This window comes from Homo sapiens, chromosome 8 (genome assembly GCF_000001405.40).
Source record: "Homo sapiens chromosome 8, GRCh38.p14 Primary Assembly".
Classification (NCBI taxonomy): Eukaryota; Metazoa; Chordata; class Mammalia; order Primates; family Hominidae; genus Homo; species Homo sapiens.
The window spans coordinates 1,304,241-1,319,905 of NC_000008.11; the positions used below are offsets into that span (position 1 = coordinate 1,304,241).

The window sequence follows — 15,665 nt, forward strand, 5'->3', positions numbered from 1 at the left end:
TGAGCATGGGCTATGGAGACACAGGACACCGGCCACCGTGGCCCCACACCCAGGGTGGCAGGTGCAGCTGGCCCTGATGATGAAGACGACACAGATGTCTCACTCCGGAAGCCTTTGAACCTGGTGGAACGAGGAGGAATTTCAAGTGCCCAGGTTTCACGTATGCAGAAAGTTGTACATGAGATTTTTTAAAAAATGACAACCCACATGTACCAAAAACAAACATTAAACACTTTCAGCAAAAGCAGGAGATGTAAGGAAAACGGCTTCAGTGATGATTCATGTTGTTAACAACAGAGGGTCTGAAGCCAACTTTGTTTTAAAAGAAGAAAGTAGGATGAGAAAAAAGATGAGTACAATTGTTCTTAATCCAATAATAATTAAATTTATATGGCTACACCTTAAAGATAAATACAGTGCGGAAGTGCTTCTGATGAAGTGGCAGGAGAGAGAATGAAGGAAGATGATCGACAAAAGCAAGCAGGGTAATTTATCGAAAGCTAAGTACCCCTTGCTACATGAACATTTTGGGGTCCTGTACTTGTAAATCCATATTTTGTGGATCATCATCAATTATAATAAATGCTAAACACCCTTCAATACTGCACAGGATAAGCTGAAAAGGCACAGTCTGTGTTCACTGCAATCGCATTTGATATAATCATCTGTCATTCATGCATATCGTGCATAAGGTAATCATATATATACCCAGCTGAAGTGAGACAGATACGAGTTGGACAAATACTGCTAAGAATAACTGTGCAGGAGGTATCATACATGGTTTCCACCATTGCAGTGGCTGGCAGGTGACCTCCCACCTGGAGGTGACCCCAGGAATCTCTCTCAGAAGCACCAGAGTAGCCTGGGCTTTGGAGTCAGCAGCCTGGGTAAAAAAGCTTGCTCTGTCACTTCCCATTCAGTGACCTAAGCAAGTGACTTCTTGACTCTTAGTTTAGTTTCCTCCTTTAAAAAATGAAAGTAGCATCTCTCAATGTTAGGGAGTTGTGAAAATGAGAGACAGCATATGTGAGGTGCCTGGTCTTCCGCAGTTCTCTGTCTTCAGTGGCTGTTGTTTCTGGGATATTGTGGGGCTACTGAAGCTATGATCTTCAGCATTATTTTGTTTGGTTTAGATAATTCGTGTGTTTATTTTACATTTGGCTTAAAAGAAATTAGTCCTTACAGTTTTCATGAGATGTAAACTGCTTATAGTCATCCCTGGGTGTCTGTAAGGTCTTTATTCATACATTTGTGTGTCTTTCTGTTCTGTCTGGGTGTGGCCTGAAGGACGAATGCAGGGTGCTCATCTGTGCTTCACCCAAATTGAAACTCAGACCAGAGAAACTAAGGACATTGCTTGAAACACTGCAGTCCTCCGGCAACCTGCCAGGATAAAAATTACACTGAAAACCTACCATAAACACTGCAGGCCTCCATCAACCTGCTGGGACAAAAATTACACTGAAAACATACTGTGTACCACCTAAAGCCTGGGAGCAGAAGCTGGGAGAGTTCCTTCAGTAAATCAGGACATTCGAGAGCACTTGAGTAACAACAGCTACCGCCCCACTCAACAGCAGATGACTGAAAGTTCTTCCTGTGAGGTCAGGAACAAGGCAAGTGTGCCCTTGCCTGCCCTCTACTTATGTGCTTTTATAAATGGGATTATTTTCTTAATTTCCTTTTATACTGTTCATTCTGATAGTATAGGGAACAACTACTAATTTTTGCATGTAATTTTATATCCAGATATTTTGCTGAATTCCTTTTTCAGAAGAGGAAATGCCACTTCTACTCATCATAGTAGTAGAAGTCCTAGACAGAGAAATTAGGCAAAAAAAAAAAAAAAAAAGAGAGAGGGAGAAAAAATAGAAAATCATCCAAATTGGAAAGAAGTAAAATTGTTATTTGCAGATGACATAATCTTATATGTAGAAAACTGTGAAGATTCCCCCCCACCCACACACACCTACACAAGGGTATAAAAAAGGATTCAGCAAAGTGTCTGCATACAAAATTAACACACAAAAATCACTAGTGTTTCCAAATACTATCAGAATGAACAATTTAAAAAGGAAGTAAATAATTGCATTTATAATCGTGTCAAAAAAACCCAAAATTCTTAGAAATAAGCTTAACCAAGGAGGAGAGAGGCTGTACACTGAAAACTATAAAATGTTGTTATAAGACATTAAAGACACTAATGAACGGAAAGACATCTGTGTTCATGGATTGAAAGGCTTACTGTTGTTAAGATGTCAGAACTACTAATGGTGGGTTTTTGAGAAATAGAAAAATCCACCCTAAAATTTATATGGAATTACAAGGGACCCCAAATACTCAAAACAATCTTGAAAAATAAGAACTAAGTTGGAGTCTCACACTTCCTGATTTCAAAACTTACTACAGAGCTATGATAAGCAAAATAGTGTGGTTAAGTGCTGGCATAATCACAGACATCTAGACTAATGGAACAGAATAGAGAGTCCAGAAATAAACCCTGGTGTATATTGTCAAATGATTTCTGATAAGGGTGCCAAGACCATTCAATGGAGAAGGAACAGTGTTTTCAATAATTTATGTTAGAGAAACTGGATATCAACATATAAATAATGAAGCTGAACTCATACCTTATACCACATATAAACAATACTCAACAGATAAAAGACCTAAACATAAGAGCTAAACCTGTAAGACTCTCAGAAGAAAACAGAGAGGATAAGCTTTATGACATTGGACTTGACAGTGATCTTGGATACCAAAAGTACAAGCAACAAAAGAATAGATACATAATTTAGACTTCATCAGAATTAAAGCTTGTGTGCATTAAGGGACACTTTCAGCTGAATGAAAGGGATGGAATGGGAGTAGATATCATATATCAAAATTCAAATCATATATCAATCTGAAAATGGACTGATACCTACACTATTTAAATAACTACAACAGCAAAATAATCTGATTCAAAAATGGGCAAAGGACTTGGATATTTCTCCAAGAAGATTCACAAATGACCAATAAGCACAGCAACATCATTAATTATTAAGGGAATACAAAGCTAAACCACAAGGAAATGCCAACACACATTAGAGTGGTCATTGTAAAACAACAACAATGAAAAGAAAAGAACAGGTGTTGGCAAGGATGTGGAGAAGTTAGAAACCTTGTGCATTTTTGGTGAGAATATAGAAAGATGTTCCCATCATGGAAAATGATATGGTGAGTCTTCAAAAAATAAACATGGAATTTTCCTATGCCCCAGAAATTTCACTTCTGGCCATACACCCAAAAGAAGTGGAAGCAGGGCTCAGATAATTGTATACTCATGCTCAAGCAGTATTAGTTACAGTAGCCAAAGATGGAAGCAGCCCACGTGTGCAATAGACACGTAAATGGATGTATAAGCAAAATGGGGCCTAGACGGGTGAAAGAAGAACATTTAGCCTTAAAAAGAAATGAGATGCTGACACATGGCACAATATAGATGAACCCTGAAGACATTCCACAAAATGAAATTCGCCCGTCACAAAAGGAGAGTGACTGTGATTCCCCTCACATGAGGTACGAAAGCAGTCGAATTCATAAAGACAGAAAGTAGAAAGGAGGCTGCCGGGGACTGGGCGCTGGAGGGAAGGAGAACTAGGTAGTTAGAAATGGGTACAGAGTTTCACATGAGGAAAAGGACGCATTTTGGAGACAATGGCACAATGGTGTGAATGTCCTTAACACACCACAGAACTACACACACGAAATGGTTAAGATGAGTATTTTACCACCGTTTTTCCAAAAAGAACCCATGTACATGGGGGAACGCACAAAGCTGTGCATACACCAGGTCAATGTGCGTGTTCAGAAAAGGCCTAGGAAGACCTGCAGCTTTCACCTCAAGTGGTCCCTGGGCTCGTTGCAAGCCAGGGTACGTGTGGAAGAAGTGCCTCAGGACAGAACGCCTGCAGAGAATGGGAAAGGTGTTTTTGTCTTTTTCGTTTGTAGCTCTTGGCATTTAATGAGATATCTGTCAACATACTAGCTTGAAACAACCTTAAGAAACAGAGACTCCAGTGACTGCACACGGCAAATAATACAGTGTTTTCAAAAAATAGTTTGGAAAGTCACTAAACAGACTACACCAGCCTTCAACAATCAAAAACAGCCAAACCAGAAGAAGGGTTTCCAGAGTCAGCCCCTTCTAATATCCAAGTGTCCAGTTTTCAACAAAATGACTAAAAGACATATAAAAAACAGGAAAGTATGGTCCATTCAGGACAACAAAAGAAATCTTTTTTTGTTTTGTTTTGTTTTGAGACGTAGTTTCACTCTTGTTGCCCAGGCTGGAGTGCAGTGGTGTGATCTCAGCTCACTGCAACCTCAACCTCCTGGGTTCAAGTGATTCTCCTGCCTCAGCCTCCTGACTAGTTGGGACTACAGGTGCCCGCTACCATGACAGGCTAATTTTGCATTTTTAATAGAAATTAGGTTTCCCCATGTTGGTCAGGCTGGTCTTGAACTCCCGACCTCGGATGATCTGCCCGCCTCAGCCTCCCCAAGTGCTGGGATTACAGGCATGAGCCACCGTGCCTGGCCCTAAATAATATTTTTTAAAATTTTCTTAAATATGCCCCAAAACTAAAGAACACTGGGAAACAATGTATGAAGAAAATTAAAGAGATCCAAATTATTTTTTTTTAAAGAAAACAGCAGACATTCTGGAGAAAAATAAATGAAAAATTTACTCTAGAGGTTCAGCAGCAGATTTGAGCAGGTAGAGGAAAGTGTCTACAGTTAAATATGGTACAGATGACATTGTGGAGCCTGAGGAGCAGAAAGAAAAGGAAGAACAGGGAGCCGAAACTTGAGGGTCTGTGGAACATCATCGGGCTGATCAGCCTACACATTACAAGAGTCTCCGAAAAGGGAAAAGAGAACGAAATGAAAAGAAAGAATATTTGGAGAAATAAAAGCCAAAAACATCCAAAATTTGAGGAAAGATGTGAATATACAAATCCAAGAAGCATAATGAACTTCAAGTCAGATAAACATGAAGAGATTTGCAAAAGACATGTTATAATCAAACCAGTGAGGGATAAAGAGAAAATCCCAAAAGCAGCAGAAGAGAAGTGACTCATCACACACAAGGGATGATTATTTATTTTCCAGAAAAAGCTTATCTCTTGATTTCTCTAGAAACCATGGAAGACAAAAGAGAATGGGATGATAAAGTTCCTAAAGAAAAAAAAATTTTAAGAAGTTTATAGTCAGTAAAACTATCCTTCACAATGAAGGAGGAAGTAAGACATTCCCAGATAAACGGAACTTGAGACTTGCTCTACAAGAATGCGAAAGGGAACCTTGCAGATTGACATAAAAGGACAGCGGCATTAGCTCAAAGCTATATGAAGTGAAAGGTCTTCAGCGATGGTGAATACAGGGACGACCAGGAAAACCAACAAGATTATGTATTTGGTTTGTAACTCCACCTTTGTTGCTACAGAAATTAAAAGATGAATGCATAAAAGATAAGTGTACGTCTATGTTACCGTGCACTCAATGTGTAAAGGTGAAACCTGTGACAGGCCGGGCGCCGTGGCTGACGCCTGTAATCCCAGCACTTTGGGAGGCCAAGGCGGGCAGATTTCTTGAGGTCAGGAGTTCAAGACCAGCCTAGCCAACATGGTGAAAACCCATCTTTACTAAAAACACAAAAATTAGCCAGGTGTGGTGTTGGTTGCCTGTAATCCCAGCTACTTGGGAGGCTGAGGCAGGAGAATCATTTGAACCACTGTATACCAGCCTGGGCTACAGGGCAAGTCTCCATCTCAAAAAAAAAAAAAAAAAAAGATGAAACCTGCGACAGCAAGGGAGGAAGGGAGCTGTTATAAATCTAGGGTTCTATGTTTAATCCTAATATTATAAATTTATCTTCAAAGAAAGTATTTTAAAATATATACGCAACAGGAAATAAAAGGGAAATCAAAACAGTTAACTCCAAAAAAATCCACAAAAAAGACAATAATTAAGAAAATGAAGGACAGAGGCTATTTATATATTGACAGAAGGGTCAATTCAACAAGGAGATACAATGATTTTAAATATATATGTACCAAAATCAAAAACAGAGTCCCAAAATATGTGAAGCAACCATTGATGGAATTGGAGAAAGTAAGGGGTAGCTCTAATCATAGCTGGAGGCTGGAATGAACCACTTTCAATAGTAAGCAGGACGTCTACACAGAAGATTAATAAACATGGGGTTTGGACGGACACGTACAGAAGCATCCACCTGACAACAGTGGAAATACACATTCTTCTCAAGTGTACATGAAACATTCTCCACAGTAGGCCACATGTTAGGCCAAAAGACAGGTCTCAATAAATTGTAAAAGACTAAAATCATAAAAAGTTGGGTTTTTTTTTGTTTTTTGTTTTTTGTTTTTTGAGATGGAGTCTCACTCTGTCACCCAGGCTGGAGTGCAGTAGTGCATTCTCGGCTCGCTGCAACCTCTACCTTCTGGGTTCAGGCAATTCTCCTGCCTCAGCCTCCTGAGTAGCTGGGATTACAGGCACCCACCACCACACCCAGCTAATTTTTGTCAAAGTAACATTTTAGCCACAGTGACATTAATAACAGGAGGAAAACTGGAAATTTGACAATGGGTCAAAGAATCAGAAGAAAGCTATCAGACAGAATTAACACAGAGTAAAAAAGAGATCATTAAATTAAATTCAAAAAATAGAGTATCAACAAAACTGAAGTCAGTTGATTGAAAAGATCAAAATATTGGCAAACCTTGAATGACACTGACAAAGAAAAAAAAAAGAGAACACATAAACAACTAAAATTGGAAAGGAAAATGGGGACATTACTACAGACCACACAAATAAAAAGGATTTAAGACAATACTATGAACAATTGTACACCAATAAACTAGTTAACCCGGATGACATGGACAAATTTATATAACAATGAAAATGACCTAAACTGACTGAAGACAAGATAAAAAATCTCAACAGATTTATAATAAGAGATCGAATCTATAATGATAAAAAAATAAATCCTTGGAAAGAAATATCCAGAATCAGATACGTTCACTGGTGAATTCCACCAAACAGGTAAAGATGAATTAACACAAATCCACAGACCCTTCCAAAAAAATAGAAGTGGAGGAAACAATTCCTAACACATTCCTTGAGGCCAGCATTACCGTGGTAGCTGAGCCCGATAAAAATGGTCATAGAAGAGAAAATCACAAACCATATCCCTTATCAATGTAGATGCTAAAATTTTCCACAGAATACCAGCAAACTTAATCCAACAGTGTATTAAAAGGTTTAGACTTGTCATCAGGTGGGATTTATTCCAGGAATGTAAAAGTGGTTCAGTTTAAGAAAATTAATTAACACTACCTGCACATCTCAGTTGACACACGAAAGGTGTCTGACAAAATCTCATAACTGTTCATGATAAAAAAAAAAAACTCTTATAAAATTAGAAGTAGAAGGAAAATTTCTCAGTATGATAAAGGGCATTTATGAAAAGCCACAGCCAAGACATCCAGTTTCCTGTCCAACATTATGCAATAATAGAGGGAATAAATCTCCAAGAAGACACAGCAATCCTTAATGTATATGCACCTGACAACAGTGTGTCAAAATACATAAGGCAAAGACTGATACAACTGCCAGGAGGAATAGATGAGTCCACCATTAATGCTGGAGATTTTGAGTGTCTGCTCTCAGTAATTGACAGATCCAGCAGGCAGAAATTCAGAAATTCAGCAATGACAGGGTTGAACTGAGTGATACCATCAATCAACTGAATCTGACATCTGTAGGCTACTTCATCCAACAGCAGCAGAACACAGATTCTTCCCAAGCTCGCACAGAACATTCGCCAAGATAGGCCACATTCTGGGCCAAAAATCTAGACACAGATCTCAACCTTTTCATAAAAGTTACCTCGACATAGATCACAGACCTAAATATAAAACACAGGGTCTAGAATTTAACATCAGAGGGAACCCAGGTGACTTTGAGTCTGGTGATGAGTTTTTAGAGACCGCACCGAAGGCACCTAGGAAAGAACAGATTGAGTGATTGGACTTCATTAAAATTTAAAACTTCTGCTTTCTGAAAGACAGTTAAGAGAATGAAATGACAGACCACAGATTTGACAACATCTTTGCAAATCACGTATCCAGTAACAGATTGGTATCCAAAATGTACAAAGAACTCTTAAGCAACAAGAAGAAAACACACATGGAGACAAGAACAGATTCAGGGTTTCTGGGGGCTTGGGGGAGAGGGAACGGGAGTTATTTCTGAATGATTATAGAGGTTCTATTTGGACATGCAATGCATGTGCAGCGTTGCGAATGTATTTAATGACGCATAATTACACACTTAAAATGAGTGAAATGGCAAATTTTATGTCATCTGTACCAGAATAAAAAATATTTACAAAAAATAAAATTAAATGCACATACCTTTTGACTCAGTTAATTAACTTGGAATTCATCCCATAGAAGTGCCCATATGCTCACCAATGTGGAAGGAGAGCTGCTTCTTGCAGCAGGGTTTGTAGGAATGAAAGATGGAAAATGAACGCGAGTGTCCATCTGTAGGAAAACAGCCACTTCACTGTGCATCTGTGCAGGGAGCACCATGAAGCCCATAAAATGAGTGAGGCCAAGCCCTACGTGCGGTATGGCCTGATCTCAAAGATAGTGTGTCTCATTTAAAAGTAGCAAGATGCAGAACCCCAGATGTCCTGTGTTTTATGAGGTCAGGACTGAGACGCACATGTGCCTGCCGGCCACTGTCTGTGCTGACTGGTGTGTGCCGGAGCCCCTGGACCCGGTCAGATATTTGATGTTGCCCCTTTGGGGGGTGACATTTACCTATGTCTGTTTATATAGACATAGAACATCACTGTAAAACAAAACAGGCCAGAAACCCAGTAGCAAAAGTTGTCTGTAAAGAGGGGTGCAGCGTTTCTCAGTCATGAGTACCTGGAATCTTGTTGTTGTTCAGCATGCGTTGCATTATATATATTCAGTGTTGATTTAACAGTTAGAATGTAAAACTTGACACTTAGAATAAAAACAAATTTGTCTTCTTCACCACTGGATTCTGGAGGAATCCGTGAGTCTTCAGAGAACCCTCCGGTTGTCTGCACATGTGCCGTTCAGCTATGCTCTCACCTATAATCTCCCCTATACTCCCCCCCTTAATTATGGAGAATGGTAAAGTCCGGAATTTTGATAAACCTTTGAAGAAAAATCAAGAATGGACAAACAGTAGTGAGGCTGGGTTCCTCATAAAGGTTTTTCCTGTGGAACACCATAACACTTCCTCAGGCCATTCAGTAACAGTCCAAAGTCAGGGGTGGATTCAGGCTTCACAGCGGCAGGCTCTGTCCCGGGATACCTCAAGTCCCACCTGAACCTGATGGTCACTACAGGACAAAAGAGGGTTTCAGTCACAGACTGGAAAAGGTCAGATTTTTGAATATCAGATGTAGGAAGGCTGAATTATGTCTGGGGAGGGGAGAAGGAAGCAAGATCCAAGTTCAGCTGGCGCCAAAACTGAACCTTGATAACCATCCCCCTCTCATATTCATCAGCAGCATCAAAGACTAAGGGTTCAAATCCACCTGACCCCCAAGAACCACCGCACGGTAGCTTTCCACACAAAATGATCACACTTCAGTATTGGTTATCAGATTTTTAAAATTACAATATTTCATAAAATCCTGTGAAACTGTATGATACGAAACACGTGTTTATTTGCTTTAGAATTCGTAGCAACACACGCTTTTCAGTTATCCACTGTAAATGAGTTACTGCTGACTTAATTAGATATGTGAAATATTGGTTTCAAATTTTGAAAATTGTAACCTTTCATAAAATCCTATGAAACTGTATGATGAGAAACACACGTTTATTTGCTTTAGATTTCATAGCAGCACAGACGTTTCAGTTATCCGTTTTAATTGAGTTACTGTTGAGTTAGACACGTGAAATACTTTTGGTCACTGACCCTTATAAAGTAGAGGTTTTCTTTGCACCTGGAATTCCAACTTCACACTGCAGCCAACTGAAGTGATTTTGCCGTCGCACTGTTCACCTTGGAAGTGCATATTCTGTCACAGTAATGAAATTAAAGGGCACACAATATTTTTTTAAAACTCCATTAAATTAATTACACTCTAGAGCTGTCTGTGCTGTAACAAAAGCATTTTGGGATTTCTCCATCCAAAAAATAACACTTTTAACATGTCAGGGGAGACATGGCCGAGTTACCCTCCAGCCACCATCTGACTTTCCCAGCATCACTCCTGTGTCACCGCCTCTCAGGTGTGCATTAGATTGAGGGTCTCATTGGAGAATTGGGGCAGCCCATGGTCTGGTGTAAGGAGGGTCTGTCCGCCTGGGGCTGGGCTGCTGGGGGCCCCTCTCCCACCCCTATCCGCCTCCTGCTCCGGAGGTCGAGGACTTTCGGGGGTCTCCCTATGGTGCCACTTCTCTCTCTTTTCTGAATTTTCGTGGAAGTTTCACTTGTTCATTATGAAGGATACACACAGGATTGAACCTGTCACCAACCTAAGTGTTCTCTGAATTTCCATGGGTAAATCCTAAACCTTTTTGAAGAAAAATACTACATGTTTCCTTTTACAGCTCCCATGTGCCCTACCGGGGAAGGCGCAAGATGCCCTCTGAAAGGGTGACCTATCCCAGCAGTTCTAAGCCGCCGTTGCGTGTTTTTAGTTATTAATAGGACTTCCAGAACACCGCTCCGTGGCGGTGGTTTTCTAAGTGACGCTTTTTTACAAAAGAGGTTTTTTCAGAAGCGGCGACACCATAGAACCGTATTTAGTAAGTAACATTTTGAGAAGAGTAAAGCTTCCTGGAGAAAGTCAAGAAATAACTTGCGATAATTCCCAACACTCAAGAAACTCGGCAGCTTTTAAAAATAGAGCGTGTGCAAGTACAGTGTCTCTCCAGCAGTGGTCTACACTCGAGAAACTCGGCAGCGTTTAAAAATAGAGCCTGTGCGAGTGCAGCGTCTCTCCAACATTGGTCTACACTCGAGAAACTCGGCAGCGTTTAAAAATAGAGCCTATGCGAGTGCAGCGTCTCTCCAACAGTGGTCTACACTCGAGAAACTCGGCAGCTTTTAAAAATAGAGCGTGTGCGAGTGCAGCGTCTCTCCAACAGTGGTCTACACTCGAGAAACTCGGCAGCTTTTAAAAATAGAGCGTGTGCGAGTGCAGCGTCTCTCCAACAGTGGTCTACACTCGAGAAACTCGGCAGCGTTTAAAAATAGAGCCTGTACGAGTGCAGCGTCTCTCCAACAGTGGTCTACACTCGAGAAACTCGGCAGCTTTTAAAAATAGAGCGTGTGCAAGTACAGCGTCTCTCCAACAGTGGTCTACACTCGAGAAACTCGGCAGCGTTTAAAAATAGAGCCTGTACGAGTGCAGCGTCTCTCCAACAGTGGTCTACACTCGAGAAACTCAGCAGCTTTTAAAAATAGAGCGTGTGCAAGTACAGCGTCTCTCCAACAGTGGTCTACACTCGAGAAACTCGGCAGCGTTTAAAAATAGAGCCTGTGCGAGTGCAGCGTCTCTCCAACGGTGGTCTACACTCGAGAAACTTGGCAGCTTTTAAAAATAGAGCGTGTGCGAGTGCAGCCTCTCTCCAACAGTGGTCTACACTCGAGAAACTTCGCAGCTTTTAAAAATAGAGGCTGTGCGAGTGCAGCGTCTCTCCAACAGTGGTCTACACTCGAGACACTTGGCAGCTTTTAAAAATAGAGCGTGTGTGAGTGCAGCGTCTCTCCCACAGTGGTCTACACTCGAGACACTCGGCAGCTTTTAAAAATAGAGCGTGTGCGAGTGCAGCGTCTCCCCAACAGTGGTCTACACTCGAGAAACTCAGCAGCGTTTAAAAATAGAGCCTGTACGAGTGCAGCGTCTCTCCAACAGTGGTCTACACTCGAGAAACTCGGCAGCTTTTAAAAATAGAGCGTGTGCGAGTGCAGCGTCTCTCCAACAGTGGTCTACACTCGAGAAACTTGGCAGCGTTTAAAAATAGAGCCTGTGCGAGTGCAGCGTCTCTCCAACGGTGGTCTACACTCGAGAAACTTGGCAGCTTTTAAAAATAGAGCGTGTGCGAGTGCAGCGTCTCTCCAACAGTGGTCTACACTCGAGAAACTCGGCAGCTTTTAAAAATAGAGCGTGTGCGAGTGCAGCGTCTCTCCAACAGTGGTCTACACTCGAGACACTCGGCAGCGTTTAAAAATAGAGGCTGTGCGAGTGCAGCGTCTCTCCAACAGTGGTCTACACTCGAGACACTCGGCAGCGTTTAAAAATAGAGCGTGTGCGAGTGCAGCGTCTCTCCAACAGTGGTCTACACTCGAGACACTTGGCAGCTTTTAAAAATACAGCGTGCGTGAGTGCAGTGTCTATCCCATAGTGGTCTACACTCGAGAAACTCGGCAGCTTTAAAAATAGAGCGTGTGCGAGTACAGCGTCTCTCCCACAGTGGTCTACACTCGAGAAACTCGGTAGCGTTTAAAAATAGAGCCTGTGCGAGTGCAGCGTCTCTCCCACAGTGGTCTACACTCGAGAAACTCGGCAGCTTTTAAAAATAGAGCGTGTGCGAGTGCAGCGTCTCTCCAACAGTGGTCTACACTCGAGACACTCGGCAGCGTTTAAAAATAGAGCGTGTGCAAGTGCAGCATCTCTCCAACAGTGGTCTACACTCGAGAAACTCGGCAGCTTTTAAAAATAGAGCGTGTGCGAGTGCAGCGTCTCTCCAACAGTGGTCTACACTCGAGACACTCGGCAGCGTTTAAAAATAGAGCCTGTGCGAGTGCAGCGTCTCTCCAACAGTGGTCTACACTGGAGAAACTCGGCAGCTTTAAAAATAGAGCGTGTGTGAGTGCAGCGTCTCTCCAACAGTGGTCTACACTCGAGACACTCGGCAGCGTTTAAAAATAGAGCGTGTGCGAGTGCAGCGTCTCTCCAACAGTGGTCTACACTCGAGAAACTCGGCAGCTTTTAAAAATAGAGGCTGTGCGAGTGCAGCGTCTCTCCAACAGTGGTCTACACTCGAGAAACTCGGCAGCTTTTAAAAATAGAGCCTGTGCGAGTGCAGCGTCTCTCCAACAGTGGTCTACACTCGAGAAACTTCGCAGCTTTTAAAAATAGAGGCTGTGCGAGTGCAGCGTCTCTCCAACAGTGGTCTACACTCGAGACACTTGGCAGCGTTTAAAAATAGAGGCTGTGCGAGTGCAGCGTGTCTCCAACAGTGGTCTACACTCGAGACACTCGGCAGCGTTTAAAAATACAGGCTGTGCGAGTGCAGCGTCTCTCCAACAGTGGTCTACACTCGAGACACTCGGCAGCGTTTAAAAATAGAGCGTGTGCGAGTGCAGCGTCTCTCCAACAGTGGTCTACACTCGAGAAACTCGGCAGCTTTTAAAAATAGAGCGTGTGTGAGTGCAGCGTCTCTCCAACAGTGGTCTACACTCGAGACACTCGTCAGTGTTAAAAAATAGAGCGTGTGCGAGTGCAGCGTCTCTCCCACAGTGGTCTACACTCGAGACACTCAGCAGCTTTTAAAAATAGAGCGTGTGTGAGTGCAGCGTCTCTCCAACAGTGGTCTACACTCGAGACACTCGTCAGCGTTTAAAAATAGAGCGTGTGCGAGTGCAGCGTCTCTCCAACAGTGGTCTACACTCGAGAAACTCGGCAGCTTTTAAAAATAGAGCGTGTGTGAGTGCAGCGTCTCTCCAACAGTGGTCTACACTCGAGACACTCGTCAGTGTTTAAAAATAGAGCGTGTGCGAGTGCAGCGTCTCTCCAACAGTGGTCTACACTCGAGACACTCGTCAGCGTTTAAAAATAGAGCGTGTGTGAGTGCAGCGTCTCTCCAACAGTCTACAAATGGCTTTGCTGCTTTTCATTTCTTTGCAACTCTTGAAGGGTCCTGTTTCAAACTTTGATTTCTCCAAATCGTGGCAACAACATGAAATAAAAAGGTTGGTGTTTAGGTTGTCAAAGAATGTATAGCTTTATCAGTTCAGCTTTACTTTCCTGGATTTATTTTCAAAACCATCTTCATATTGTATTTCTCCCACAGGGCTCCCCACTGTCCATATCTAGTTCACCCAGATTGTTAGTGACCTTCGTTTCTTCGTATCTAGTATATGCCAGTTAGCAAAATGGCAGCCCTCTTCACGCCTTGGATTCTAGAAAAGGCTGTTCCTGACTTTGAAGTTTAGGCCTCCACAGGAGGCCTGTTGTCAGGGCCGGTTCGTTACCTCCAGTTTATCACCTAGGGGAACAGATTCCCCCGCCGATGTCGAAAGGCAGTTCTCTCATGTTACGAAAATGGGATCTGTGGCTATAAGTTAAATACTGCCAAGCAACATACTAAGTTACCACTTTCAAAATGAAAATTGAGTGGTTCCTATTCGTACTTAATATATTTTTACTGTTTTCATTGTAACTAATCCATTGTCAGTGATCAGCCCCCCCCCCGCCCCCTCGCCCATCCTTGGGGCCTCCAATGTGTTCCCCAACAGCTGCCGGAATGGTCTTCCTAAAAGGCAGAGTTAATGATGTCCTTTCACCACTTAGAAGGGTCCAGTGGGTCCCCATAGATTTTAGGATTAACTCAAAACGCTCAGCATGGTTTTTCCTCACCTGTGAGATGGGAATCGACATAGTCTCTGTTTTATGGGGCTTTCAGGAGATTTAGGTGGTGTATCAGTGCGAGCTCGGTGGCGAACAATGGGCTCCCTGTTGCTCGTTGAAGCAGAATGGAGACTTGGCGGGATTAGCGGCCTCTGAGGTCTCCGAGGGCTGGAGGGCCAAGCTCAGCTGGGATCTTGTGCTCGCTGCCTCCCTGCAGTGCCTGGGGCCCCCATGGCTCCCCTCCCTCCTCCCTGGTCAGGGCGTCTGCTGCCACCCCAGTGAACTGCTAAGTTCTCAGCTAAGCTCTCTGGAATTGTTACCACCGCCTCTGCCACAATGTGTGCTGGTAAAATGAATCCCCTGAAACCTGAGACCAACCTTCTCTGACTCAAATCCCAGATCAGAGGTTCATGCAGGTGTTGGGAGAGAGGCCACGTGTGGAAACCTCCTGGCAGGATTCTAGGAAATGAGTGTGTCTGCCCACTCACTCAGCCATCCTCTGTCTTCCAGCTCTGCACCCTCGGAGAGATTGGAGTGGGTGTGGAGGCAGCTGACGTGGAGCCAACAGAGTGTTCATTATGGGAATACAGCATGAGTTAAAAGTCACAATCACTGATTTCAAGGAGCTTGTATTCTCCTAGGAAGGTAGGCTTGCTGGACGTCCATCAGCTGTGATGAGATGAGAAAAGGGCCTGGAGAGTGACTGGGGAGGGGCTCATGTCAGTTAAGGGAAAGCCTCTCTGAGGAGTGCACGTTGGAAAAGATGTCAGAACGATGGGAAGAGGCAGGACATCAGCAGCTTTGGGGGACAGTTTCCAGGCAGGGAGATGTTGTCTGTAAGGGGCCAGAGACCGGAAGGAAACGTAGATCACATGCCAGACAATGGCAAGGTCAGGTTGCTGGAGCACTGCAGTCAGCATGGAAAACCACAGGAGACAAAGGCAGAGGGAAGAGACGGGGA

The 15,665-nt window shown here is 42.9% G+C and overlaps 1 protein-coding gene across 1 annotated transcript in view, besides 1 other annotated feature; it reads left to right on the forward strand.

Annotated features, from left to right (window-relative positions):
* DLGAP2 (DLG associated protein 2) overlaps positions 1–15,665 on the forward strand; it is a 970,849-nt gene that overhangs the window by 566,613 nt on the left and 388,571 nt on the right. The gene's annotated exons all lie outside the window — the stretch shown is intronic.
* Positions 13,007–14,206: an enhancer, noted in NCBI's record as "CDK7 strongly-dependent group 2 enhancer chr8:1265413-1266612 (GRCh37/hg19 assembly coordinates)". NCBI's record gives its function as "activates an origin of replication core promoter dependent on BRD2, BRD4, P300/CBP, MED14 and CDK7 cofactors, with strong dependence on CDK7, by STARR-seq in HCT116 cells {active_cell/tissue: HCT116}" and the evidence as "EXISTENCE:reporter gene assay evidence [ECO:0000049][PMID:35650434]".